The sequence below is a fragment of the Homo sapiens genome, chromosome 2 (assembly GCF_000001405.40).
Source record: "Homo sapiens chromosome 2, GRCh38.p14 Primary Assembly".
NCBI lineage: Eukaryota > Metazoa > Chordata > Mammalia > Primates > Hominidae > Homo > Homo sapiens.
In genome coordinates, this window is record NC_000002.12 from 47,240,008 (window position 1) to 47,267,824 (window position 27,817).

Here is a 27,817-nt window from a genome sequence, read left to right on the forward strand (position 1 = left end):
GCTGTTGTGGGATTTTGCTTCAAACACTCAATTGCAAACCATTTTTCCCAAAGCAAATTGATAGAGAAGCAAGTAAAACAGGTGCCCCTTCTGGGAATGAAGTCCAGGGCTGCTGGGAAGGCTGTGGGAAGGAATAAGAATATCCACACGGCTGGATCTCCACTGCTTTCTGGAATAGTCCCCACTCTCAGTTATCTGTGGAATGAGAGGGGCTGGGGAGAGGGATGAGGTAGGGCAAGCCACCACCACCAACACCCAGAGAAACATCACACTCAGTTTCCACCAACTAAACTTCCCTCTAAAGCAAATTTTGACCCTAATTGTTCTCTGTCCTTTAAATTAATGCTTTTTTTTTTTAAGACGGAGTTTCACTCCTGTTGCCCAAGCTAGAGTGCAGTGGCATGATCTCGGCTCACTGCAACCTCTGCCTCCTGGGTTCAAGTGATTCTCCTGCTTTAGCCTCCCAAGTAGCTGGGATTACAGGTGCCCACCACCACACCCAGCTAATTTTTTGTATTTTTAGTAGAGAGGGGGTTTCACCATCTTGGCCAGGCTGGTCTCGATCTCCTGACCTCAGGTAATCCACCTGCCTTGGCCTCCCAAAATGCTGGGATTACAGGTGTGAGCCACCACGCCCAGCCTAAATTAATGCTTTGAATTTTGCATGGAGACACTGAAGGAAGACAAAGTACAAGGACCCAAGTAATAACCAATAGAAAGAAGAAATCCCATGCCAGGGGCCTGGACAGCCCAAGACGTGTATATAAGCTCCACGTTGCCTTCCTGTTTAAGACCTTCTGCTCAGCTCATACTGATGGAAATGGCATGGGTGGGCATGGGGGAAGTATAGCCTCATGACTCTCCAGCCTTCAGGGTGATGGGAGAGGACTGGCAACAGGAACCGGTATGATTTTTTAAGTGAGTCTTACCTTGCTGGAGCAGAGTTTTATGGCAACCCCCAAAGACCCCTGTGAATTGAGGCCCACCTAGGGTCCCAGGAACCCCTTTATGTGCCCTTTAAAATATGCTTTAATATCTAAGGTTCTATCATTTAATATTTATTTATTTTTAAATTTCCCTGATCCTCCTCCCATGTCTATTTTTCCAAATAAATCCTTTTTGTTTGTTTGTTATTTTTGTTTGTTTGTTTTCTTTCTCTTGAGACAGGTTCTTGCCCTGGTACCTGGGTTAGATCATGGCTCACTGTAACCTCAACCTCCCAGGCTCAGGTGATCCTCCCACCTCAGCCTCCTGAGTAGCTGGGACTACAGGTACGTGCTGCCACACTAGGCTAATTTTTTACTTTTTGCAGAAATGGGGTTTCACTGTGTGGCCCAAGCTGGTCTTAAATTCCTGGGCTCAAATGATCCAACTGCCTCGGCCTTCCAAAGTGCTGGGATTACAGGCGTGAGCCACAGCTCCCAGTCCCAAATCAATCTTAATACCATTTCTGCCAAGTTCAAAACAAAGATAATCCTGTTGATATTTGGCTGAGACTATACCAAATTAATAGATTAGTTTAGGGAAAAATTTTTTACCTTGTTTGGGAGGCAAAATATTTACCTCTACTCTCCTAGGGTTTTCAACAGGGCCTAAGAATTAAATCAACATAAAACATATTAATAGGAGGAAAGGAAACATAGTTATTTTAAAAAGTTTTACATGAGATGGGAGCCCTCATAAGGAAATGAAGACCCAAAGAAGCAGTTTAGAGTCAAACACTCATATACTGAGTTGGACAAAGAGTTTCACAAAGTAAATGATGGAAATGTGACAAGGCAAGGGGGCTCGAGCTGGGAAAGATGATCATGAGCAGTGACTGGGAAGAGGAAGGTTGGTTTCCAAGGTCACTTTGTACAGATCCCTCTCAGCCTCCTCTCCCTGTCCCTGGTGATAAGACTGTTGCTTTCTGGCTGGCGTGGTGTCTCACGCCTGTAATCCTAGCACTTTGGGAAGCCGACGTGGGCGGATGACTTGAGGCCAGGAGTTGGAGACCAGCCTGGTCTGATGATAGGGAGACCCTCATCTCTATTTTTTATTTAAAATTTCTTTTAAAAAAGAATGTTGCTTTCCTCCTGGTGTAAGGAGGACATCTTTCATATGGGGCTTTTGTTCTTGCTTTCAGAAAGCAAAAGGAGTGATCAGAGTGCCCTTCCGGTACCTGCTGGTTTTCATTTGCCTTTGGCTCAAAATAACCCTTATGCCAAAGGAGGATATTTTGAGGTGGCATATTCTGCCACCCTTCAACTTTTACAAAATTGAGTTTTTCTATTCAGATTAGAATATGTTTTTTATTTGAATAAAATCTTGCTGTCCAAATACTTTTTAAAACTCCATATTGGCTCTGAATTACCTGCCTTCAAGGCTTATTTGGCAAAGAGACTGTAGAATCTCATCCACTAAGCAGGAAATGTGTTATCTCTTCCTTGGTTATCAGGTGAATTACACTTTTAAAGAGAGCTGCCTACATGCCTTAACTTAAACCAAAAGGCACTGGGACAAATAGCCACCTGGGGATGTCCTTGCCTTGACCGCCAACCTAGACTCTAGGTCCTGCGGCCTCACTCATTCTCATTCCATACCACACACAGGAAGTCAATCTTGCCTGTATTCCCAGAACTTTGGGAGGCTGAGGTGGGCAGATCACCTGAGGTCAGGAGTTCAAGACCACTCTAGCCAACAGTTCAAGACCAGTCTAGCCAACATGGTGAAACCCCATCTCTGCTAAAAATACAAAAATTAGCTAGGTAAGGTGGCGGGTGCCTGTAATCCCAGCTACTCGGGAGGCTGAGGCAGGAGAGTTGCTTGAACCCAGGAGGTGGAAGTTGCAGTGAGCCGAGATCGTACCACTGCCCTCCAGCCTGGCGACAGAGTGATGAGACTCCATCTCAAAAAAAAAAAAAAAAAACAGAATAAAACAACTTTGGTTAAATACATTTGTGGTCCTTTTCTCTCCTTAACCTGTTTTTTTGTTATAGGAGCAGTAGCGATGAGTCTTGTGATGGGTGAGGGAAAGGTAACTTTTTCTCCCCTACAAATATAAAGTTTCTGCCTTTTATTAAGGTATGCGGTAGGGGCTAACCTGAGGGCAGGTGCTGGTGCTAAGGAAAACCTGCCTTGCGCCAGGTTCTCCGAATTATAGCCCCTCTTTTTTTTTTTTTCTTTTTTTTTGGGAGACAGAGTCTTGCTCTGTCGCCTATGCTGGAGTGCAGTGGAATGATCTCGGCTCACTGCAACCTCTGCCTCCTAGGTTCAAGCAATTCTCATGCTTCAGCCTCCCAAGTAGCTGAGACTATACAAGTCATGTGCCACCATGCCCGGCTAATTTTTGTATTTTTAGTAGAGACAGGTTTCACCATGTTGCCTAGGCTGGTCTTGAACTCCTGACCTCAAGTGAACCACCCGCCTCAGCCTCCCAAAGTGCTGGGATTACAGGTGAGAGCCTCCCACTCATGCTTTTCTCATGTAACCCCTCTGCAGGGCCGGCTTCATGGATGGGTGAGCTCCAGCTTAGACGAGCCCTGCACTTGGTTTAATACTCTCCTGTTTAGCAGTTTCTGGAAAATAAGAAAAATAAAAAGCAATACTTAAAAAAAAACTAAAATACTAAAACAAAAGTTTAAAAAATATAGTAAATTCTTAATAATTTTGGAAAAGGGGACCCCACATTTTCATTTTGTACCAGACCATGTTATCCTGTCCCTCTGCAACACTTTGAAGCTCAGAAACAGAAAGCAACAGCCCAGTCACACTTGGGATTGGCTGAGGGTCAGCGTCCAAGTCCACGCAAGACCAGGTGCCGGTCCAGGCACTTGAGCAGCCTCTGCCAGGGCTTCTCTCTGCTTCCTGGAGCAGGCAAGGCCTCGTCCCATCTGCAAACGGGCCTGGGTGATGGATTTTTAAGGGGGACACCTCACAGAGGACTCCCCGCTCCCTTCCTCAGCTCCTGCTCCCTGCCTGCCTCCCAGGATCCACGCTATTAACTCAGCCCACTCAGCAAACCCTCAGCAAATTTTGCTGGCTGTCGTCTGGACTACCTCAGGCCCAAGCCTGCTCAGTGTTTCCAGAGTTTAGACCCCAGGAGTGAGTAAGCAGCCTGCATTATCTCTCCAGAGTTCTGCCTCTCTCAAGACCTTCCAGGAGCCTGCATCGACAGGAGAGAGGAATTCCAGACCACTAGCAGGAGCACATCTGGTCTCTTGGGCCGAGGAAGCCATCACGGCAGGAGAAGAGAAGGGCCGGAGCTCCTGGGCCGTAATCCACAAGGGTTACTTAGCTGCCGAGCAGTGCAATCAGGGAGGAGGGAATGGTGGGCTCCTTCTAAAAGCTCAGGACCACATGTTCTAGGAACCCTCAGGATCCCTCAGGATCCATCCCATCCAGGAGGATGAAGGCAGCTTGAGCAGCAAAGGTGTCAGGGCACTGATTGGGGAGGGAAGGGGGTGGCTCAGTGACCCCCTCTCCCTGTGGATATTCACTTTTCTAAGATGCCTTTCCTCCCAAGGCCTGCCTGCAAGAATCTTGGCAGCAAGAGGACTCGTTTGTAATTTCCCTACTAGAGAGGTACAAGGAATATGTTTAACTATTTATTTAACTCCATCCATTCATGTATGCTTTCAAATCTTTATTAATTTTTTTTTGATGGAGTCTTACTCTGTCACCCAGGCTGGAGTGCAGTGGTGCCATCTCGGCTCACTGCAACCTCCTCCTCCCTGGTTCAAGCAATTCTTCTGCCTCAGCCTCCTGAGTACCTGGGATTACAGGCACGCATCACCACACCCGGCAAATTTTTTGTTGTTGTTGTATTTTTAGTAGAGATGGTGTTTCACCATATTGGCCAGGCTGGTCTCAAACTCCTGACCTCAAGTCTTCCACCCGCCTCGGCCTCCCAAAGTGCTGGGATTATAGGTATGAGCAACTGCACCCAGCCTGAAATCTTTATTAATTTAGCACTTGTTGCATGCTTATTTAGGGACAAATGTTCAATTCTCTGAGGACTGCTGAGAAATGTAAGATGCGGTTTGGCCTCCAGGAACTTAAGATCTACCTGAGCAGTCAATGGTAGCACACGTGAAAGAGCCAATGAAATGCAATACAGTCAAATGGAACATGAGCAATGCCAAATTATTTGGCAAGACAGTAAGTGCTGAAATATAGTTTAACGAATTGTTCCTGAGGGCATACTGTGTGCCAGGCTGTGCTAGGTTCTAAGGGATACAAAGATATGTGAGACATGGTCCCTTCACTGGAAATGCTCAGTTCTAATTGGGGAGACACCCATGAACAGACAGTTTGGATATGTACAAGGTGCAGTGGCAGCACAGAGAAGGGCCACTGAGGCCAATCCAGGTGACGTGACGCCTGTGCTGCATCAGGGCAGCCATGCCAAAGATGCCTGGAAGGATGTTCAAGGCAGAGAGGACACTATGAAAAGATCTGATGGCCTAGTGTGGTTGAGAATCACAGGTAGGGAGTTCTCAGAGGCAGGGAGAGGCAGAAAATAAGGTTAGAGAGGTGACTAGAGATGGGATCATGAAGAGCCTTGTTAAGAAAATTGACCTTGGCCGGGCGTGGTGGCTCACACCTGTAATCCCAACACTTTGGGAGGCCGAGGCAGGTGGATCACTTGAGGCCAGGAGTTTGAGACCAGCCTGGCAAACATGGCGAAATCTTGTCTCTACTAAAAATACAAAAAATAGCCAGGAATGGGGACATGCACCTGTAATCCCAGCTACTCAGGAGGCTGAGGTGGGAGAATCGTTCGAACCTGGGAGGCGGAGGTTGTAGTGAACCGAGATTGTGCCACTGCACTCCAGCCTGGGAGATAGAGCGAGATCCTGTATAAAAAAAGAAAAGAAAGAAAGAGAGAGAGAGAGGAAGGAAGGAAGGAAGGAAGGAAGGAAGGAAGGAAGGAGGGAGGGAGGGAGGGAGGGAGGGAGGGAGGGAGGGAAGGAGAGAGAGAGAGAAAGAAAGAAAGAAAGAAAGAAAGAAAGAAAGAAAGAAAGAAAGAAAGAAAGAAAGAAAGAGAAAGAGAGAGAGAAGAAAAGAGAAGAGAGAGAGAAAGAAAATTGACCTTCTCTTAGTAGAGGCTGGGGGCCACCGAAGGGTTTTCACAGATAAGTCTCATGGCTGGAAGGAGGATGGACCTGCGGGGAATGAAACTGCAAGCAGGACAGCCAGTTAGAAAGCAATAAGAATGGTCTGGTCAAAAGTGATGGAGGCAGTGGCCACCGGGATGAAGAGGAGAGGACATACTCTTCTTGCCGCCTAGAATGCATTTTCCCTCTTTTTTTCACCCAGTTCACTCTCACACATCCTTCAGATCTCAGTTTCTCTGGGATACTTTCCCTGACCCCCAGGTCAAGGCAGATCTTCCTACTGTGCCTTAGGATAGCGCTGGGTACCTTCATTCATAACTCTTCCCAGTCATCATTCCAGGCTTATTCCTGAGGTCATTTTATTGACATCTGAGTTCCTCACGAGGACTCTCAAATCCGTAGGTGTAGGATCATGTCTGCCTTCCTCACTGCATATCCCCAGTTCCTACACATAGTAGAGCTCAATAAATATTTCTGGAATGAAGGGATGACAGATTTGACGGCTATTTGAGAGCTCTATGAGAATTCAGAAAATATTCCTATGAGTTGGAAGAGTTGACGTCAACTTCATAGACAAGATATGAACATAGAAAAAGTTAAATAACAACACAGCAGCAATACAATAGAGATGACAAGGTGGTAAGTGTCAGGGAGAACAGTACAAACACTGTGTGTTAAAGCAGGGAGTGTAGTAGCAGCTGTGATGTTTTTGTCAGCAAGTAACAAAAAACCCTGAACTCAAACTGGAATTAGCTGCAAGGAAGTGTATCAGGTCTCAGCAGAGTTCAGAGGAAGGGCAGGCCAGAGGTGTTTGATACGGCACCTCAAGGACTCCTTTCCCTGCTGCTCCGCCATCCTCATGTGGGCTTCACCCCCAAGCTGGGTGGCAGGAAGTCCACAGCAGTTCTAGACATGGAACCATCCCACTCAAGAAGGAAAGATGGTCTCTTTCCACTGGCCAGAATTTGGTTATAAAACCATTCCCGGCCTGACCACTGGTGAGGGGGTTAACATTTCTGCAACTGGTTTAGACCAAGCTCCATCCACTCCTAGAACTGTGATGGGGTCAGTGCCCACTTAGTTACAAAGGAATCAGAAATCAGGATCTGTTAGACAACAATAAATGGGAAACTAGCTGTTGGGTGAAAATCAAGTGTCCATTGCAGCCCTCCCCTTTGTATACCTAATATCTGCTCACATCATTCATCCCATACTGAGAGATCACTCTGTGCTGAAATTGTCTAGAAAAGTCTTGAGGAATGAAGTAGAACTTAAGTCTTCAAAGAAGGGCAGGACTTGGACAGGTGGAGAAGAACAGGCAATGAGAAATAGGTGGGGATTAGACAGGGTTGCTCCCAAAATAAATGCTCCCTAAGAGCTACTGTTTAAATGCAGGCAATGTTGGGTAATGGAAAGAGATGGACTTTGGTGGCAAAAAGGCCTGGATTCACATCTTGGCTTTGCTACTCAAGTTTCTTAACCTTTGGGAATTTCAGGTTTCTCCTCAATGAAGTAGAACTGGAGGGTCTGGTCTCCTCGGAATGTGCTCAGGATCACATCAGACTGTTTGGGACAGAGACTTGCACACTGAAGGTGCCCAACACGTTTGTCTCCAATTGTCCTTCTTTGGAAAGGAAGGCTGTTCTGGAGAACACATTGAATTGCCAACACAAACTTCATTTCTAATGTGAAATAGAGGCATCAGGCTATGCTTGGATGCCAAAACTTGAAGCATGAGTTTTCCTTTGCTCTGGGTTTTTTGTTTTGTTTTGTTTTGTGTTTTTGAGACAGGGTCTCGCTCTGTCACCCACACTGGAGTGCAGTAGCACCATCACAGCTCACTGCAGCTTCAACCTCCCATACTCAAGCAATCCTCACACCGCAGCCTCCAGTGTAGCTGAGACCACAGGTGTGTGCCAGCCACCATGCTCAGCTAATTTTTATTTATTTTTTTTTTTTGAGACGGAGTTTTTGCTCTTGTTGCCCAGGCTGCAGTGCAATGGCACAATCTTGGCTCACTGCAACCTCTGCCTCCTGGGTTCAAGTGATTCTCCTGCCTCAGCCTCCCAAGTATCTGGGATTACAAGCACCCGCCACCATGCCTGGCTAATTTTTTGTATTTTTAGTAGTGAGGAGGTTTCACCATATTGGTCAGGCTGGTCTTGAACTCATGACCTCAGGTAATACACCCACCTCGGCCTCCCAAAGTGCTGGGATTACAGGCATGGAGCCACCGCGCCCGACCTAATTTTTAAATTTTTCTGTAGAGATGAGGTCTCACCATGTTGCCCAAACTGGTCCTGAATTCCTAGGCTTAAGCAATTCTCCCACCTAGGCCTCCCAAAGTGCTGAGATTATAGGCGTGAGCCACTGCATGGCCCCAGTTTTCATTTTAACTTGAGTCTTCGGTGAATGTTGGGCCTCTTCTTGTCTTTTTTATTTCTAGCCCTTGACCTCTTTTGACATAAACTTTGAGGAAATCCAAGTGAGAAACAGGAAGACCATGGATGAAACATGGAGCCACGGATGAAGAGATGAAGGGTCCATCTAATGCCTCGGTGATCTAAGGTTTTGTCTAAGTGCCTGCCTGCCCAAGAAGACTAGAGCTATACTTCCGCATCCCTGGGGCCATCGCAGACTCATTAGAGATCAGAAGATGTTGTGGACCCTCTTGTCAGAGAAATGCACATATGTACAAAGATTGTCGTATGTCATTTCTAGGGTTTCTGGAACACTCTGAAGCATCTCGTTAGACTGCGGAATGAGAAGCCCTGAATTAAGGGATTTGTTTGGAATGATCCAGCCCTAGTTTCTGCAGGAAATGGGAAAGGAACTGGCTTTGCATGAGTACAAAATCACTTAGTGGTTTCCAGCTTCAGGATCGGGGATGCCTGCTGCTGACCCCTTGCTCCAGACTCACACTCAGCCCCAGGCCTACGTACTGTTTGGAGATGGACTGTGTGCATGTGCAGACATTTAAGGGGGCCTTTTGGTGAGGGTGATGCTGACTTGAGAGAAACCAGCTCAGCATGTTTTAGATACAGAATCTTTGTCCTGAAAGAGAGGATTGCCTCCTTAAAAGCTCTTAAGAATCCAAGGACAAAGAGACAGAAAGAGGGAGATGTAGATATAGAGAGAAAGAATGGATTCGAGATCTTTAAAAACAACAATAGCAACAACAATCAGAGAGACTAGCCAGAAGGTCCGCTAATGTGAGCTGCATCTGGGAAGGAGCAGTCAAAGGGATGTAGAGCAGCAATCTTGAAACTGCACAGCACTTACGTAAGATTGAGAAAACATCAATTGTCCAGATCAAAGAATGGAAGGAGTGCTTTCTGGAGTTTATGAGAAGGTTAAAGCCTTCCCCAGCCTCCTGCCCATTGGTGCCACCTCTGCCCCCGCAGCTCCACAGTCCGTGGTCTGCAGAGGCCCAAGGACACACATACTGCCCTGCTGGAGTGTTAGCTGGTGTTAGGACTGCAGCAGCCGCTCCTTAATGGAGCTCCCCAGGAGCCCAACCCGATCGCCTGCCTGCGTTATTAATGCATTATGTCATCTTTCCTTGCACTTGTTCTCAGCTGCTGAAATTTTATAGAGCTGTATTATTAATTGAAGCAATTAGTGCAGGGGATATCGGCACAGCCACATCAGAGGACTGGAGATGTGCAAGGCAAGAATCGCTCTCTCTTTGTGTCCCTTTCTCCCTCACTCCTGTCCTCTTCCCTGTGCCTCCCCACCCCGACGTCTCTTATTTCTACTCCACCCCCACTTTCCTGTCTCTTTTTCTTCCAGTTCTCTTTCAATATCACTCTCTAGAGATGTGAGTACCCACTACCCTTCTCAGTGAAAGCATTCACATATAGTCTCCCACCATTCCCCTAGCATGGACAGACAGACAGAATGACAGCGTCGCTGTGGCTGACTGATGCTTGGAGTCACTGGCCTAGTTAAATTCAGATGAGAGACCATCCCTCACAATCCTGACATTGGCTCAGAGCCCCTGGTGATTGTGCATGGTGGTAGGTAGAAAAAAATGGGGCTCACTGTGTGTCAGACGTATTCATTCATTCATTCACTCATTCATTGGTTCATTCATTCATTCGTTTACCTTCAGCGTGTACTCAGCCGTATGCTAGGTGCTGTGGGAAATAAACAAGGAGATAAATAGAGTTTTGGCTCTCTGGGACTGGTATAATAGCCAGAGAGACCAGACTGGCCCTTGAAACCATTAGGGCAAAATAGGGTGCAGCAAAGGGCCCCAGAGGAGTGATTTCCCCAAGGAGTGTCCAGATGCTTCCTGGTGTTGAGAAGAAAGACCTAGGATAGGTGGGTATGGTGGTTCACATCTGTAATCCCAACACTTTGGGAGGCTGAGGCAGAAGGATTGCTTGAGGCCAAGTGTTCGAGACCAGGCTGGAAAACATAGTGAGACCCTGTCTCTTCAAAAAGAAAGTAAGGCCTAGAGATGTGAAGTGGCCCTCAGAGGTGAGGTACTAGCAGGCTGCAGGAGGATGGGAACGGGGCAGCTCCAGCCGGGAGAAAGGAAGTTGCAGGCTGAGCAGGTATAGGATGGAGAGCCAGGAGGGACCGATGGCTCTTCACCCCAGGACATCAAGCCTCTCAGCCCAGCCCAGCTGGGGTTGAGACCTAGAAGTGACTGGAAAACCTGGCTGGGAGCCAGGACACCTGGACACCAGGGCTCAGCCTCAGATTCCTTTGTCAGGAATCAGACATGACACCTGAGAGGCCACAGGCTCAAGTTCCCTGCAAAATAAACAGATACCAGGATGGAAACATCCAGAGTGAACAGTCACCCGCTGCCCCTCCCCACACTCACTGCCCCCCGACCCGTCATCAGGAACAGGTGCCCTTCATACTACAGAAAGAGACATCCTTAGAAGTCTGGAAGCCAGTGGTCTGCTTGGGTACGTTAGGTCTTAGTGGGAGTATGTGCTTGATTTTTTAGCTTTTTCTTTTTTGTTGTTTTTGTTTTGAGATAGGATCTCGGTCTGTCACCCAGGCTGGAGTGCAGTGGTGCGATCATGACTCACTGCAGCCTCAAACTCCCAGGCTCAAGCAATCCTCCCACCTCAGCCCCCCGAGTAGCTGGGACAACAGGCAGACACCACCACACCCGGCTAACTTTTTAATTTTTTGTGGAAATGGGGGTCTCACTATGTTGCCCAGGCTGATCCCAAATTCCTGGGCTCAAGCAATCCTCCCTCCTCAGCCTCCCAAAGTGGTGGGAGTACAGGTGTGAGCCACTGTATCCATCTTTATATTTTTCTTTTACTGGTGGTGGTATTAGGATGGGGGAGGTTGTTGGTGGCTACCCTTGTGGTCTGACCTCACTTCCCTGAGCGCTGTTGACTCCTTTCCTTGGCCTGGTGGTGCCCACTCATGCGGACCATCCTTATGCCACACTCCTATTGAAACTGACTCCAAGGAAAGGGGCTCCAAGGAAATTATGAAAAAGTTCAAGCATATGCAGAGAGACTAAAATGATGAACCCTCATGTTACTATAGCCGAGTTTCAAAAATTCTCATCTAATTGCTGGATGGAGTGGTGTGCACCTCTACTCTCAGCTACTTGGGATGCTGAGGCAGGAGGATTGCTTGAGCTCAGGAGTTCAAGTCCAGCCTGGGTAACATATCAAGACCTCATCTTTTTTTAAAAAAAAACTATGAACTCATAATCAATCATTTATCCATCTTCCCTCAACTTTTTGGGAGTGAAACAGGAGTGTGCTTTTTTTTAATTAAAAAAAAATTTTTTAATAGATGCAGAGTCCTGCCATCTTACCCAGGCTGGTCTTGAACTCCTGGGCTCAAGTGATACTCCCACTTCAGCCTCCCAAAATGTTGGAATTATAGACATGAGCCGCTGTGCCTGGTAGCAGCATGCTTTTTAAAGGTAACATGCGGCCGGGCACAGTGGCTCACGCCTGTAATCCCAGCACTTTGGGAAGCTGAGGCGGGCGGATCACCAGAGATCAGGAGTTCCAGACCAGCCTGGCCAACATGATGAAACCCCGTCTCTATTAAAAATACAAAAATTAGCCAGGTGTGGTCGTGGGCACTGGTAATCCCAGCTACTCGGGAGGCTGAGACAGGAGAATCGCTTGAACCTGGGAGGTAGAAGTTGCAGCGAGCCAAGGTTGCGCCACTGTACTCCAGCCTGGGCAACAAAGAGCAAAACTCCTTCTCAAACAAAACAAATCAAAACAAAAAAACAAAAACAGATAAAGGTAACATGCTCTTGTAAGGAAAGTCTGCTAACTTTTTTATTCTTTTTTTTCTTTTTTGCTGTATTAAAACACATACACACCCCTTTGACAGAGACAGGTTTTTATATATGGGGCTTATTTAAAGCTGGGAAAGGGTCCATCATTTGATAAACTCTCCCTAGGTGTGTGGCAGGGGCCAACTGTCAAGTGTTTACTCGTCTCAGCAACTGGAGATAAAGGTATAATTAAACAGATGACAGAAAGGTCACAGGCAGTAAATGAAGGAGGCCCACCAAGTCCAAGTGCCTGCTCTTACATTCTACTGGCGCCTACTCTCCTTATCCTCCAGGGCCACCCCTAGGGAAGCTAAGGCCAAAATGGGAAAAAGGAATAAAGGGTTACTTACTGGTGGTGGTGTTAGGGTGGTGGTGGGGAGTGGTTTATGGCTACCCTTGTGGTCTGACCTCATTTCCCTGAGTGCTGTTGACTTCTTTCCTTGGCCTGATGGTGCCCACTCATGCTGACCATCCTTATGCCACACTCCTATTGAAACCTGCTCCAAAGAAAGGGGCTTAGGTGAGTGAGCTATAATATCACCTACAGCAGAGCTATCCAATAGACTTTCCGCAACGATGAGAATGTGCTACTCTGTGCTGTACAACATGGTAACCATGGCAGGGCATGGTGGCTCACGCCTGTAATCCCAGCACTTTGGGAGGCCGAGGTGGGTGGATCACCTGAGGTCAGCAGTTCAAGACCAGCCTGGCCAACATGGTGAAACCCCTTCTCTACTAAAAATACTAAAAATTAGCTAGGTGTGGTGGCGGGCGCCTGTAACCCCAGCTACTTGGGAAGCTGATGCAGGAGAATCGCTTGAACCCGGGAGATGGAGGTTGCAGTGAGCCAAGATTGCACCACTGCACTCCAGCCTGGGAGATAGAGAGAGAGTCTGTCTAAAAAAAAAAAAAAAAGCAATATGGTAACCATAAGTCATATGTGGCTATTGAGCCCTTGAAATGTGGCCTTATGTGGAAGGCCTTGAATACTAAGTAAAAAAGGAAAGATTTTGTCACATGAGTAGTAGGGAAGTATGGGAGATGCCTGAGCAAAGGGATGTTCTGATGGGGACAGAGAAGGCTTTCTGGTTTTATTTGCTTATTGGTTTGATCGTTGCTATTGACAATCACAGCCTTCCAGGCGATGAACCTTGGAAGGGTCTTAAACTGTCTACGCTCACGCACAGTCTTATTTAATGTTCATATTCAGCCCTGTGAAGTTGATGGTTTACAGATGAAGAAACTGTAGCTCAGTGATGTGTGATGCAATTAGCCATCAGCAGAGGAATTTGAACCCAAGCGTATCTTACTCCAAAGCCCCTAAGCACAATACCTTGCTGGCTTTGAGAAAATTCAGCTGCTATCAGGATATTAAAAAGGATTGGAATAGGAGGACAGCAAGGAGTCTCCTATCCTGGTATCCAAAAACAGTACTGGCACTAAAGAGAGGCTAAGTAAATCCTTGCTCATTTAAAGTGGATTGGGTGAAAGTTCTGGAAAGTCGTTTATCCTCAGCAGCCTGCCAGGAACTCAGTTTGGCACAGGACTCTGAGAAACCTATTTCTACCAGGTAGGCTGGGGATCCACAGCTCTTAAAGTTTATTGTCTATTATAGCTGCTGGCAAGCCAAGCTGCTTGGCAGGACCATTCCCAGGGGCTGTGGCCAGGGCTAGGACCACTTGAAGGAGACAGATGCAAAGCCCTGCTGTGTGGAATTGGCATTTCTGCTTGCCCTATCCCAGGGCTTTCCCATTCCCAGCTCTACTCCAGGAGCATATGAGCTAGTGTCCCTAACTAGGAAGAGGGGCCTGGGCCAGGGGCCTCTGGAGCCCAAGAGACAAGGTCAGACGCAGAGACACAGAGCTCAAGGAAGTAGGATCAAGAAGCTCTGATCTCCAGAAAATCAAACTGCATAATTTTTTTTTTTTTTTGAGACGGAGTCTTGCTCTGTTGCCTAGGCTGGAGTGCAGTGGCACGATCTCAGCTCACTGCAACCTCTACCTCCTGGGTTCAAGCGATTCTCCTGCCTCAGCCTCTCAAGTAGCTGGGATTACAGGTGTATGCCACCATGCCCAGCTAATTTTTGCATTTTTAGTAGAGACAGGATCTCGCCATGTTGGCCAGGCTGGTCTCGAACTCCTGACGTCAGTTGATCCACCCACCTCGGCCCCCAAAGTTTTGGGATTACAGGCGTGAGCCAACATGCCTGGCCACACTGCATAAAATTTGTCTGCACATCCTGCTCAGCAGATTCAGCCTGCCACCTGCTCCCCAGCTACCTTCCACCAGCACTTCAGTTCCTCTTTTCCCCTCCCAGCAGCCAGCCCCTCTTGTCAGAAAACCTTCTGAAAACCTCATTTATCCTAGGATGTTAGGACATCAAATCCTATTCATTATCCTCTCCTACCCTAGGAAATCTGCATTCCATGCTGGAAATCCAGGCCCTTCAGGTTTGGGAAAATGGGGGTTGAGCTAACACCTAACCTGTCTAAGGACAAGGGCATCCTGGCTGATATCAAAGCAATTAGGAGAGAGTCTATAAGAAACTGATTCAATCTAGGCATATCAAATAAAATGAGGCAAGTCCTTCTGTCTGCAAGTAAACACCTCCTGTGTGCCCATCAGCCAGGAACTAAGGGGCAAAGAGCCCCAAGAATATACTCAGCACATGAAAGAGCTTTGGACTTGGTGACAGAAGCTCACCTGGGTTTGAATTCCAGCTCTGTTACTGATGTGCTGTGTGACCCTAGACAAATTACTGGCTTCTCTGAGCCTCCTTTCTAGTTTCTTTGGTTTGGAAGACAGAGCTGAGTGGTTAAAACTTTAAGGTTTAGCAACAGACAGATCTGGGTTTGAATCCTAGTTTTGTCACTCATTAGTGATGGACCTTGGGAAAATTCCTTGACCTCTCTGTACCTCAGTTTCCTCATCTGGAAAATGGGGATGACAATCCTATCTTGCTTGGTTGTTGCAAAAATTAAATATAATAATGGGCCAGGTGCAGTGGCTCACACCTGTAATCCCAGCACTTTGGGAGGCTGAGGCAGGTTGATCATGAGGTCAGGAGTTCAGGACTAGCCTGACCGGCATGGTGAAACCCCATCTCTACTAAAAATACAAAAATTAGCCGGGCGTAATGGTGCATGCCTGTAATCCCAGCTACTCAGGAGGCTGAGTGAGGAGAATCACTTGAACCTGGGAGGGAGAGGTTGCCTCCAGCCTGGGAGACAGAGCGAGACTCCATCTCAAAAAATATATATATATTATAAAATATACGATATATTTTATATATATAATATATCGTATATTATATAATATGTAATATATCGTATATTATATTATATGTAATATATCGTATATTATATTATATGTAATATATCGTATATTATATTATATGTAATATATCATATATTATATTATATGTAATATATCGTATATTATGTTATATGTAATATATCGTATATTATATAATATATATGATATATCGTATATTATATAATATATGATATATTGTATATTATATAATATATTGTATATTATATGCATGATATATAATATATCATATATTATACATGGGATATTATATATATGGGATATATATGGGATAATATATATGGGATATATTATATAATATATCGTATATTATATATGACATATAATATATCATATATATGACATATAATGTATCATATATTATATATGACATATAATGTATCATATATATTATATGATATATATGACATGGTATGATATGGTATATTTTATATATATATATAATAATGTATGTGTCATGCTTGGTACACTGCCTCAAACAGAATCTCAATATTATTATTATTATTTATATTAACCGTTTGCTTCCCCAGGATTAGGAGTCAGACAAGGAAGAAGAGGAAATGATAGGAAACTGGGAGGTGAGTATCAGAATTAAGGGTGAGTTAGTGAGAGGATGAGGCCACATAGGGATGCCCGGTGCTCAGGGCCCAGGAGAACATACTCAGGGTCATCATACATTGTGCACAAAGATGCCTGGCCGAGGGAGTACGTGGGGGTCAAAATCCCACCTAACTCCTACTCTCCAAACAAGTTTTGCTTCTGCTGGCATCATCCTGCACAGGGCCAGGCAGGCAATAGGTGAGGCATACTGCGGGTCACTAGGTCCTAGGGGATCAGAGCAGGTCAGCCTCCAGGATAGGCAGAAGTGGATCAAGGAAGCCCTGCAGCTTAAGGAGTCTAGCAGAAGCAACAGGCATTCCAGGGGTGAGGCTCAGCTGCAGACTTTGTGTGGGAGGGGCAGGGCAGAATTCAATTTGTTCCTAGAGCTTTGAGGGGCTGGTAGGAAACCAAGGCAAGCATTCAGGCGAGGGGCTACCCCAAACAAGGCAGTCTGTAGGTACAAAGCAAAAGGCCCTGATAACAAAACAAACTGCAAGGTCAGGCTGGTCCAGGCACAAAGCTGACTCCAGCCTGGGTCACAGAGAGATGAGGGATCAGAGCCTCAACTCGCTGGTGGTAACAAAATAGGCAGCTGTTGGTGCTGGAGGGGGCAGGCTGTGGGGGCAGGGAGCTGTGCCGATCGATGCAAACTTTCTTCCTAATCCTTTGGCAGTTTATTGGGCACCTCAATCTGTGAAGCTGTGTGGTAGGATTCGCTTCTTTAGGAGGGACGGCCTCCAGAATGGAATGGTATTAGGAACAAGGAGATATTCCTCTGCCCAGAAATATTCATGCATCTCTGTGCTCCTCCTACTACTAAGTAATTTCTTTGAATAAAGTCTAAGGCCACAAGCTCAGATGCTGCAGGAGCCAGGCAGTGGCACAAATGGAAGAAAGAGGCCAGATAATGACAGGGAACAATTGGGAGAGGCAGGAACTGCAGCAAACCGAGAAGTATTAATAAATGTTTCCTCGGGCGGGGTGCAGTGGCTCATGCCTGTAATACCAGCACTTTGGGAGGCCAAGGTGGGTGGATCATGAGGTCAGGAGTTCGAGACCAGCCTGGCCAACACGGTGAAACCCCATCTCTACTAAAAATACAAAAATTAGCTGGGCCTGGTAGCGTGCGCCTGTAATCCCAACTACTCGGGAGGCTGAAGCGGAGAATCGCTTGAACCTGGGAGGCAGAGGTTGCAGTGAGCTGAGATTGCGCCATTGCATTCTAGCCTGGGTGACAGAGTGAGACTCCATCTTAAAAAATAATAATAATAATAAAATAAATGCCTCCTTTATGGAGGGCAGCAGCTGCTGAGCTCCTCCAATTCATACCCAGTGAGAATGTGAGACAAGCCCTTTTGGTTCTTCCATTTTCCAAAAGAAGCCAGAAATCTACATTTTAATTAAAATCTGGTTTTTTTAAATCCCATCAATTATATTTTCACAAAACTCTGTTGACGTTCTCCAGGATTCCCTGGAGATGCAGCCCCCTCTGAGAGAGGTCGTGGGGGTGGGTGGGAGAAGTGCTCCAATGAACTCCTTGCTAGTGCCTGACATTCTCCTTGTTTCTTGTTCCAGAGGCTTTGGGCATCTGAAGAAGATGGGAAGGAGGGGAGAGGCCACTGAAAGGAGAGGTGTGATGCTGGGGGGAATCCCTCTGACCTCATTGTTTTATCCCCCAGGAAGGCCCTGTGCCTGGCCCACCAGCCACAGTCTGTAGACACAGGTCCTGGCAGATGAAATGACATCTCTGAGGCCACACCAACCCCATGGCTTTCTTCTGTGTCCTGTGAGCTGGTCCCAGCAGGCTGGCCCATGGCTTCCCTCAGTGAAACACCCTGTCCTGTCCCCTCCCTTCCCAAGCAGCTCTTCTGGCCACTGTCACTCTGCGGTGGTTTTTATAAGGCTCATCTTACTGTGTGGGTTTTATTAGCAAGTGATTGCTTCTCACGTCTCAACCATGAATCTTTCAGTTGTGGTTTCATCTTGGGCCTAGCAGACTATGAAGAAGCAATTAATATACCTCTCAGCTGCCCATATCAGGGAGAGCACAATGTTTCAGGGCGAGAGGGGAATTTCTTATGACCCTACCCACCCAGCCTAGGGGTCTAGATAGAAAGTGTCTCTTCAAAATACTAAGCAAACCATAAGCATTATTATCCAGCTGAGAAACCTGAGGTTCAGAGGGACTTAAGTCACTTGCTGGAGATGGTGAAAGTGGTAAAGGAGGCAGGACTTACACCCAGGGCTTTGACATTGTTTTACTGTACTTTATTTTATTTATTTATTTATTTTTTGAGATGGAGTTTCACTCTTGTTGCCCAGGCTGGAGTGCAATGGCACGATCTTGGCTCACCGCAACCTCCGCCTCCCGGGTTCAAGCGATTCTCCTGCCTCAGCCTCCCAAGTAGCTGGGATTACAGGCATGTGCCACCATGCCCAGCTAATTTTGTATTTTTACTAGAGATGGGGTTTCTCTATGTTGGTCAGGCTGGTCTCGAACTCCCGACCCCAGGTGATCCGCCCACCTCAGCCTCCCAAAGTGCTGAGATTACAGGCGTGAGCCACCACGCCCAGCCTGTTTTATTGTACTTTAAAGTCACTGCTTTATAGTTCACAGATTGTGTCTTCCAGAGGTCCTTCCTTCACCCCCACCTGACGAGGTCATCTAATTAGAAAGAAGGGTTTGTGGACAGACTGCAGGCTCTGTGCTAGGAGCTCTGGCGAAACCACAAAAAGGGCAAGAACCAAGCCTGTCAGTCTGGCTGGTGAGGGGAGATACACTGCAACATCACAGATGAGAACAAGAGAGGGTTCATTGTTCCTTCCTTCATTCCACAGGCATTGGGCTCCCATTGTGAGGTCTGCACACAACCATGTCTCAGGTGTGGGTCCTGCCCTCAAGATGCCTATAACTCACCTCGGGGGGAAAGACTTGGACTCTGCCATATTAGAGCTGCAAGAGTCTCTTTGGATCATCTAATTATGAATAATCTGGGGTTTTCTTTTTTCTTTTTCTTTTTTTTGAGACAAGGTCTTGTTCTGCAGACTGAAATTCAGGGGCACGATCACTGCTCACTACAGCTTTGACCCCACAGCCTCAAGCAATCCTCCAACTCAGCCTCCTGAGTAGCTAGGATGACAGGCTCTTGCCACCATGCTCAGCTAATTTTTAATTTTTCTGTAGAGATGGGGTCTCTCTGTGTTGCCCAGGCTGGCCTTGAACTCCTGTGCTCAAGCAATCCTCCTGCTTTGGCTTCCCAAAGTGCTGGGATAATAGGTGGGTATGAGCCACCAGGCCCAGAAATCTGGGGCTTTCAATCACTTTCTTCCTTTCTCTCCTCTCCTTCTTCTTTCAGTAGCATTTAGAAGCCGAGTCCATTTGCCACTCAGAGTGGGATCTCTAGTGGAAAGGAATAGGGGAAACCTAAAGCTCCTATTGACTTGGCTCCCTTCCCCACCACTCTCTACCCATCAAAACAACCTCTGAAGAACCTTCCTGAAAAAAACCGGTTTGAAAAATTATGGATCTGGTCCAATCCCTGAAAATCCCCAAAATTTGGAAATGGAGAATCCGGTAGGCCAAATTATTACTCACCCAAGTTCACACAACCTGCACCTCCTAATTGCAGGCAGGGCTCTTTCCTTAACTACTCTGTCAAAAAGTAGTGTAAACATTAAGTCAAAAAAGGGGGAAGTAAGTGATAGGGAAGTCAGAGAGGCAGACGGAGTTCAGTGTGGACTGCCATGGTCAGAGAGACAAGAAAGGTGAGTGTGGGTCCTGCCAGGTGGTTGATGGGGCAGAGGTGGCCATGCAGGAAGGGGGCATGAGTCAAGCAGGTGTTAAATTCCAGAAGCTGGTAGAAAAGCAGCATAAAGTCAAAGGACAACTGGGATGCAGGTAGGATCAGGTTTGATGTGGAGTGGAGGCTGGGGTGCAGGCATGGGCTGGTGGTAGAGTTGGAGGATTATCTTCCCTCCCAGTTCACCCAGTTAAATCTGCTGATGGTTCAACTTTGGCAGCACCACAGAAGGCTGGAAGCCCAGGCAGGCAGGCAGGCAGGCAGGCAGGCAGGCAGGAGCATGGGCAAGTGTATGTGCTGTATGAAGTAAGCCATGGGACAGCAGCTGGGTTGCATTAAAAGTGAATCAAGGCCGGGCGCGATGGCTCATGCCTGTCCTAGCACTTTGGGAGGCTGAGGTGGGCAGATCACTTGAGCTCAGGAGTTGGAGACCAGCCTGGCCAACATGGTGAAACCCTGTCTCTACTAAAAATACAAAAATTAGCTGGGTGTCATGGCTCATTCTTGTAATCTCAGCTACTTGGGAGGCTGAGGCAGGAGAATTGCTTGAACCCGGGAGGCGGAAGTTGTAGTGAGCTGAGATCTCACTACTGCACTCTCCAGCCTGTGCGACAGAGCGAGACTGTGTCTCAAAAACAAAAAAGAATCAAGATGATGGTTGAATAAAAACAAGAATGGAGCACTGGGGAAAAGGCACTCTGAAGGCAACAGGAGCTGATGGCCGGGACAAAACAAGGCTCCGCAGACAGGAGGCCCCAGATGCAAGTCCTTGGCTTCTAATGTCTATTCAAACGAGACAGGAAAGGTAGGGCTGGCTTTGGAGAACGGCGCTTCCTGAGGGCTTCTGCGAACCTGCATTTTCTTACCCATAAAATAGATACAATTTTAATCCCATCTCCATCTCAGGGCTGCTGTAAGGAGTAAATGAAACACCGTTGAGAATGACTGAAGGGCTTTACTAAGGGATTGCCTTCAGAGGTGACAAAATTTGTGACTCAGCTCTGGAGTAAAACAAGGGGGTATGGAGACTGGACAGCACCTCCCCTGCCCGAGGGCATTCAGACTTAGAGATCCTCAGCACTGATGCTGGCCAGATGAAAGGCACCTGCCTGGCAGCTTTGTCCCCAGCCTGCACTACCTGAACTAAGGTTTTGGCAGATAACTGCTAAAGGTACGATCCTCCCAGTGGGATGTATATTCTAAAGGAGGCCTCAAGAACTGCCTTGTCCATTATAACTGCCACTAGCCATATATGGCAATTTTCATTTAAAATTGGATTCATGGCCAGGCACAGTGGCTCACACCTGTAATACCAGCACTTTGGGAGGCTGAGGCGGGCGAATCATTTGAGGTCAGGAGTTTGAGACCAGCCTGACCAACACAGATGAAACCTCGTCTCTACTAAAAATACAAAAAGCTTAGCCGGGTGTGGTGATGCATCCATGTAATCCCAGCTACTCGGGAGGCTGAGGCAGGAGAATCGCTTGAACCTGGGAGGTGGAAGTTGCAGTGAGCCGAAATCGCGCCACTGCACTCCAGCCTGGGTGACAGAGCGAAACTCCATTTCAAAAATAAAATAAAATAAGGCTGGGCGCAGTGGCTCACACATGTAATCCCAGCACTTTGGGAGGCCGAGGCAGGTGGATCACCTGAGGTTGGGAGTTCAAGACCAGCTTGAACATGGAGAAACCCTGCCTCTACTAAAAATACAAAATTAGCCACGTGTGGTGGCGCATGCCTGTAATCCCAGCTACTCGGGAGGCTAAGGCAGGAGAATCACTTGAACCTGGGAGGTGGAGGTGGCAGTGAGCCGAGATCGCGCCACTGGACTCCAGCCTGGGCGACAGGAGTGAAACTCTGTCTCAAAAATAAATAAATAAAAAAAATTGGATGCATTAAAATTTGAAGTTTAGTTCTTCAATTACACCAGCCAAATTTCAAGTGCTCTCTAGCCACATGCAGCTAGTGGCTGCTGAACTGGACGGTATAGATATGGAACATTTTCATCACCACAGAAAATTATATGGGTCAGCGCTGCTCTCAAACTACAATGGTGGAATGATAGGTATTGGGGTGGTGAGTTTCTTCCCTGAGACTTCTCAAATCAAGCTAAGTATTATTGGCTTCTTTCTCTGCCTCGGTACAAGATTAGCTCCAGATTACCTGTTACTGCCTTCAACCCCCAGCCTTTGAAAACTCCCTTCCTCCTAAGAGTACATGCACCCTGCTCATTTTGTAGTAGCTTAGGACTGAAAGTCTAATGGGAGAGGGCAAAGGGCTCTCCAGAGGTCACCCTATCTTCCACTATACTAGTGACTGAGAGCAGAAATTTCTGAACCCTAAGAAAGGTGACAAGCATGACAGAGCTGAGGGGAGAAATTCTAAGGCAGTTAGGACTGCATGTCATTCCTCAAACAGCTTGGTGGAGGTGGCCGCCTGCTTCTATCAGCAGGGTAGTATAGCAAAGCAATTAAGAGCACAAGCCGGCCAAGTGCAGTGGCTCAGGCCTGTAATCCCAGCCCTTTGGGAGGCCAAGGTAGGTGGATCGTTTGAGGCCAGCAGTTCAAGACCTGCCTGGGTGACATGGTGAAACTCCATCTCTACAAAAAATATTTAAAAATTAGCCAGACATGGTGGTGTGTGCCTGCAGTCCCAGCTACTCGGGAGGCTGAGGTGGAAGGATCACCTGAGTCCAGGAGGTCGAAACTGCAGTGAGCCATGATTACGTCACTGCACTCCAACCTTGGTAACAGAGGGAGACCCTGCCTCAGGAAAAAAAAAAAAAGAAAAAGAAAACAAAAAAGAGCACATGCTTCCTGGGTTTGAATCTCAGCTCCTCCACGTACTAGCTATGTGACCTTTTCTTTACATAATCTCTCTGAGCCTCCATGTTTTCACAGGTAAAATGAGAATGGCAGTTACTTCAGGGGGCATTGAAAGAATTAAATGAGTTAATAAATGGAAGGCACATAGAATCATATCTGGCATGCACTAAGTGTTGGCTAGGAGTAGTAGCAGTGGCAGCATTTGATTCTTGTATCATGGCCTTGGTGGAGGTGGTGAATAAGTCAAGTTCACCACAGGCACCAGCCTTGCTGCACGCACAGTGCACTTCCCTCCTGCCCCCAAAACCCCTGAGAATTCTCCATCATAATGCTTGTTGAGCACTTAATTGTTCTTCCAATTTTAACGGTCCCTGCTGGACCACATCACCGAGGTCTTGCCCCACCTTTGCCCAGCCATGTTGCCTCCTTGGTCTTTCCTGCAAGCTACAGCACCCCTGTGTACTACCCGGGCCAAGCAGTGGACTGTCCACCATGCCCAAGAGTCCTTTCAGGGAAGCAGCACAGGCCTGCCATCATGCAAAGTGGATAAGGATTAGCCCTGAAGGTCCACCTGACTGAAGACCACTGCATCCAGACACTGGCACCCTAGAGGGAGGGCTTCCGGAGCCAGAGGCAAACTGAGTCCATCAGATTCCTTCCTCCAGAATTTGAATAAAGGAAGGCCTAAAGAACGGACAGCTGGTTAGCCATGGAGGCTTAAGTCCAGAGTTGAGGGAACCAGGGACGTCTATGATGGTCAAATCAGAGCTGAAGCCGGGCCGGGTGCGGTGGCTCACACCTGCAATCCCAGCACTTTGGGAGGCTGAGGTGGGCAGATCGCTTGAGGCCAGGAGTTCAAGACCAGCCTGGCCAACGTGGCAAAAAACCTCGTCTCTACTAACAACACGAAAATTAGCCAGGCCTCGTAGTGCACACCTGTAGTATCAACTACTCAGGAGGCTGAGGCATGAGAATTGCTTGAGCCCAGGAGGTGGAGGTTGCAGTGAGCAGAGATCACGCCACTGCACTCCAGCCTGGGTGACAGAGCAAGATCCTGTCTCAAAACAAAAAACAAAGCACACACACACACACACACACACACACACACACACACACACACACACACAAAACAACCAAAAAATCAGAGCTGAAGGGAAAAGGCAACAAAGACTATGTGTGCAGTGAAAGGAACAGCACCCAGCCGATGGCCAGCAGACTGTGGGCTGAGAAATGAAGATCTCCACTGGGTAAAGTAAAGCTTTCACTCTTTGCTCCTAGGCACTTGCAGGGAAATGCTGCTGCTTTGTCTTCACTGAAAGTACGGGAAGGACTTTGAGGAAGCGTAAGTACAAAGTCTCCATGGTGCCCTTGTCATGTGCTAGAGCCTCTCATGAAAAAAGGCATCCATCCTTAAAAATCACATCAGTGCAGACACGGCACAGCGCCCCCTCGCCACTCAGCAGCTCCTTTCTGATGGGCACATGGGTGTTGGGGCCAGAGCCGGTCAGGTGCTCCCTCTTGCTCCAGAGGTCTTCCTCTGTCAAAGGGAATAGGCTGCTAGATAAAGAGGTCACTCTTCAATCAAGGGCCTGCCGATGTGTTTTTGATGAACTTATGAACAGAGCAGCTCTCACCCAAACACATTCTTTGGCTGAAAATAGGGGAGTGAACCCGGCATTAATGCTAACTCCTTGAGCCACTCTCTGCCTTTCCGGGCCTCAGGTAACTTGTCTGCAGAAAGCGGGGAGAGAATGTGGAGTAGATTACCTCTCGGCTCCTTGCATTTTCCTTGTTGATCCCAGGGGCTTCTGCCATAGCAAGGGTCTGGGCGGGGGACCCCCAGCTGGGGTGTGGAGGTAAGTCCAGTAAACAGGTAGAAGCAGCCAGGAGCAGAAAGCACCCTGACTGATGGGGCCCAGTGGGAGCGCGCAGGGCTGGCACCAGTGGCTCTGCTGTGCTCTGGACGGTTATTTCAGACACCCTGCTAACACGGAAAGCTGGGCGAGGCTGAGATGGCCTGGCACATTGAATTTACCTCTGTGAAAACTGAAAAAGGAAGATTTTTAAAAAAGATTATAAAAAAGACACTTCCTAGTAAGCCAGCCACCTCCTCTGCTTGTGAAAGGAGCCTGGCCCTGTTTTGGGGGGTGGTACTGAAAGGAGTGGGGGAGAAGTTGAGGCCCTACCTGGGCCCTGAGGCTCTGGGAACGCAGAGGCCATTTTCATCCAGCCTTCAGAAGTTTCCTTTTGTGGCATGACGGTGTTAAAAATATTCCTCCCTGAAGGTGCAACCGCGGCAGAGCAGATGTCCCTGACTGAGCACTTGGGAAGGAGCTATTAAAAGGAATGTAATTAGGTTGTCATCCTGGGGCCTCCGAGCCAGGCTTCCGAACGCCGTCTTTGTTGAAAGTTTTCCAGACGTCAAATATTTGCAGAACCAGGTTTACCAAAAAGGTTGTTAATTCCCAGTAGAAATGGGCTGTGTGCAGCAGAGGCAAAACAATGCTGCAGGTCAAGGTTGGCCTTTTCTGGGTCCTTTCCCCCATGTGGGTTCCATCCTAGCTCCCCAGTTCCCTCTCCCCTCCTCCTCCACACTGCCCCCTCCCCCTAATCACACTTTGCTCTTAGGGAAGCCTCTATGAGTCATTTACCCCTTAGCACTATGAATGTAAGCCCCTGAGCCCCTCTGGCACCCCCAGGAGTGTGGGATTCAGGCCTGAGCTCTGTACACTTTGGGGAACAAAAGGCTTCATCTCCTTTTATAAAATGGTTGTCATGCACTGGAGTGGAGGTGGAGGAGGGCCTTCCCAGTGACCCTGAAATTGCACTACAGGCAGCCACCTACTCCACTATGCAGAGATTGAGCCTGCCCTGATCCCAAGCTGTCTTCTACCTTGGAGGCATATCTGTTGTAATCCCTTCCCTCCCTTCTGCCTGTCATATCCTGCAGGCTCATCCATCCATCCATCTCATCTGTCATTCATTATTTATGCATCAACATTTATTGAGAGTCTGTGGCAAGAACGTGCTGAGTGGTAGAAAGAGAGCGGGAAGCATAAACAGACATAATCCCTGTCATGGATGGAGACAGCATAGACGCAGAAAGACATTCATCAGATAATTGCAGAAACAAATGTAAAATAATAGCCATGACAAAAGCAACAAAGGAGAAGGAAGTGGATGGTGCCTGGAGCATGCGTCAGAGAGGAGACCAGCCTGTCAGGAGAGTTAAGGAAGGCTTCCCAGGTGCAGTGGTGACTGAGCCGAGGTGTGTGTGTGTGTGTGTGTGTGTGTGTGTGTGTGTGTGTGTGTTTTGTGTTTATTAAGAATATATGCTCAGTGGTTGGTTCCTCCAACTGGAACAGTGTGCAAAAGCCGTGGCTGATCCTGAGAGGGAATGCCACAATTTTCATGAGATCCTTCTACTGGACTTTAGGAAACATCAAGGATTGTGGTTACCAAAAAAATACACAAACAAAAGGTAGGAGAGTAGGCCTGGTGCAGTGGCTCACACCTGTAATCTCAGCACTTTGGGAGGCCGAGGTGGATGGATCTCTTGAGCCCAGGAGTTCAAGACCAGCCTGGGCAACATGATGAAACCCTGTCTCTACGAAAAAAATATTTAAAAAGTTAGCCAGGCAACGTGGCACATACCTGTAGTCCCAGCTACTTGGGTGGCTGAGGTGGGAGAATCACCTGAGCCCAGGAGGTCGAGGCTACAGTAAGCCATGATCATATCACTGTATTCCAGCCTAGGCGACACAGTGAGACCCTGTCTCAAAACAAAAAACAACAAAGTAGGGGGAAAGAAGAAAAATGTCTATACTGCTGGAAGGCTTTGTCCTGGTGCTCAGCCCTCGGGGCTCACCTGTGTAGATGGGGTCTGAGGATGGGAGGGACTAACACCTCTAGCAGGAATTTTCTCTGGAAGAGTCAGATCCCCCAGGAGAATGTGGGGCTGACCAGAATGTGTGTCAAAGGAGAGAGTTCCTGGAGGACTCACAGGTAACTTTTTACCTAGGGGTTTAAAATATTCCCCATTTTGCAGCTAGAGAAGCTGAGGTTCAGATACGTTAAGTAACTTCCAGGTTCCTTCCAAGCATCATGCAGGTAGTATTTGACAAGATTTAAATTTGAAAGTTCTTCCGATCCCATTTCCCTGGCTCTTCCCACCTGTTACATACTGCAGCAGTAAAGTTGCGATAATGTGTGCTGATGTTATTTTGCATTAAATGAGATAGTCCTGTTGAAAGCTGCAGCCCCGGGTATGCAGTTAATGCTCTACAGATGTCATCTATTATTATTATTATTATTATTATTATGCCCTACTCATTAGTTCATATATTTTATGACCACGTTGTAAGCACCTTAAGGGCAGGGGTCATTCCTCTCCACAAGGCTGGGCATAGAGTAGCTGCCTGACATAACCAGTTACTAAATAGCATTATTTTACAATACTCATAAAATAGAAGCAGAATTGCTCCCTTTAAGGCAGGGCTTTGTACTTTGTGGAGAAAGCAAGTCTGGCTGTGACTTCAATGGGAAGCTCTCCAGTGGCTTGGAACCCTGGTGGTCAACAAGAATGACACACCAGGGAAAAGAGCAGTAACCACACAACAGAACTCCCAGGGTCCAGGCCCTGACCACTGACGCCAGGCGACCATTGTAACAGCCCTGCCCACAGGGCCTGCAATCTAATAGGCTCAGCCTAGCCGAGGTGGGTGCAGCCTAGGAGAGAATCTGGACCCATCTCCTGGCTCCACAGCCTGCAGCTCGGGCCTAGGTGGTGCAGGAGGTGACTTGAATCAGAAACAGCCTCCAGGGTTACTGGATCACTTTTCTCACCTGCCCCACCTGGAAACAATGCAGGAAAGGGGA

The 27,817-nt window shown here is 47.4% G+C and overlaps 2 long non-coding RNA genes across 3 annotated transcripts in view, besides 4 other annotated features; both read right to left on the reverse strand.

The window, feature by feature from the left end:
- EPCAM-DT (EPCAM divergent transcript) overlaps positions 1 to 27,817 on the reverse strand; it is a 152,670-nt gene that overhangs the window by 47,603 nt on the left and 77,250 nt on the right. The gene's annotated exons all lie outside the window — the stretch shown is intronic.
- Positions 3,855 to 4,355: an enhancer, noted in NCBI's record as "H3K4me1 hESC enhancer chr2:47471001-47471501 (GRCh37/hg19 assembly coordinates)". NCBI's record gives its function as "activates a minimal SCP1, AML or CMV promoter by ChIP-STARR-seq in naive H9 embryonic stem cells {active_cell/tissue: H9 hESC(naive)}" and the evidence as "EXISTENCE:reporter gene assay evidence [ECO:0000049][PMID:30033119]".
- Positions 9,067 to 9,568: an enhancer, noted in NCBI's record as "H3K4me1 hESC enhancer chr2:47476213-47476714 (GRCh37/hg19 assembly coordinates)". NCBI's record gives its function as "activates a minimal SCP1, AML or CMV promoter by ChIP-STARR-seq in primed H9 embryonic stem cells {active_cell/tissue: H9 hESC(primed)}" and the evidence as "EXISTENCE:reporter gene assay evidence [ECO:0000049][PMID:30033119]".
- LOC107985882 (uncharacterized) lies at positions 12,366 to 25,451 on the reverse strand. The gene is made up of 3 exons (XR_001739451.1): positions 25,126 to 25,451; positions 24,707 to 24,985; positions 12,366 to 12,878 (listed from the first exon to the last, which is right to left on the reverse strand). It is a non-coding gene; the product is annotated as an uncharacterized LOC107985882 (long non-coding RNA).
- Positions 14,603 to 14,752: an enhancer, noted in NCBI's record as "active region_15726". NCBI's record gives its function as "activates an Ori minimal core promoter by ATAC-STARR-seq in GM12878 lymphoblastoid cells {active_cell/tissue: GM12878}" and the evidence as "EXISTENCE:reporter gene assay evidence [ECO:0000049][PMID:35858748]".
- Positions 18,003 to 18,142: an enhancer, noted in NCBI's record as "active region_15727". NCBI's record gives its function as "activates an Ori minimal core promoter by ATAC-STARR-seq in GM12878 lymphoblastoid cells {active_cell/tissue: GM12878}" and the evidence as "EXISTENCE:reporter gene assay evidence [ECO:0000049][PMID:35858748]".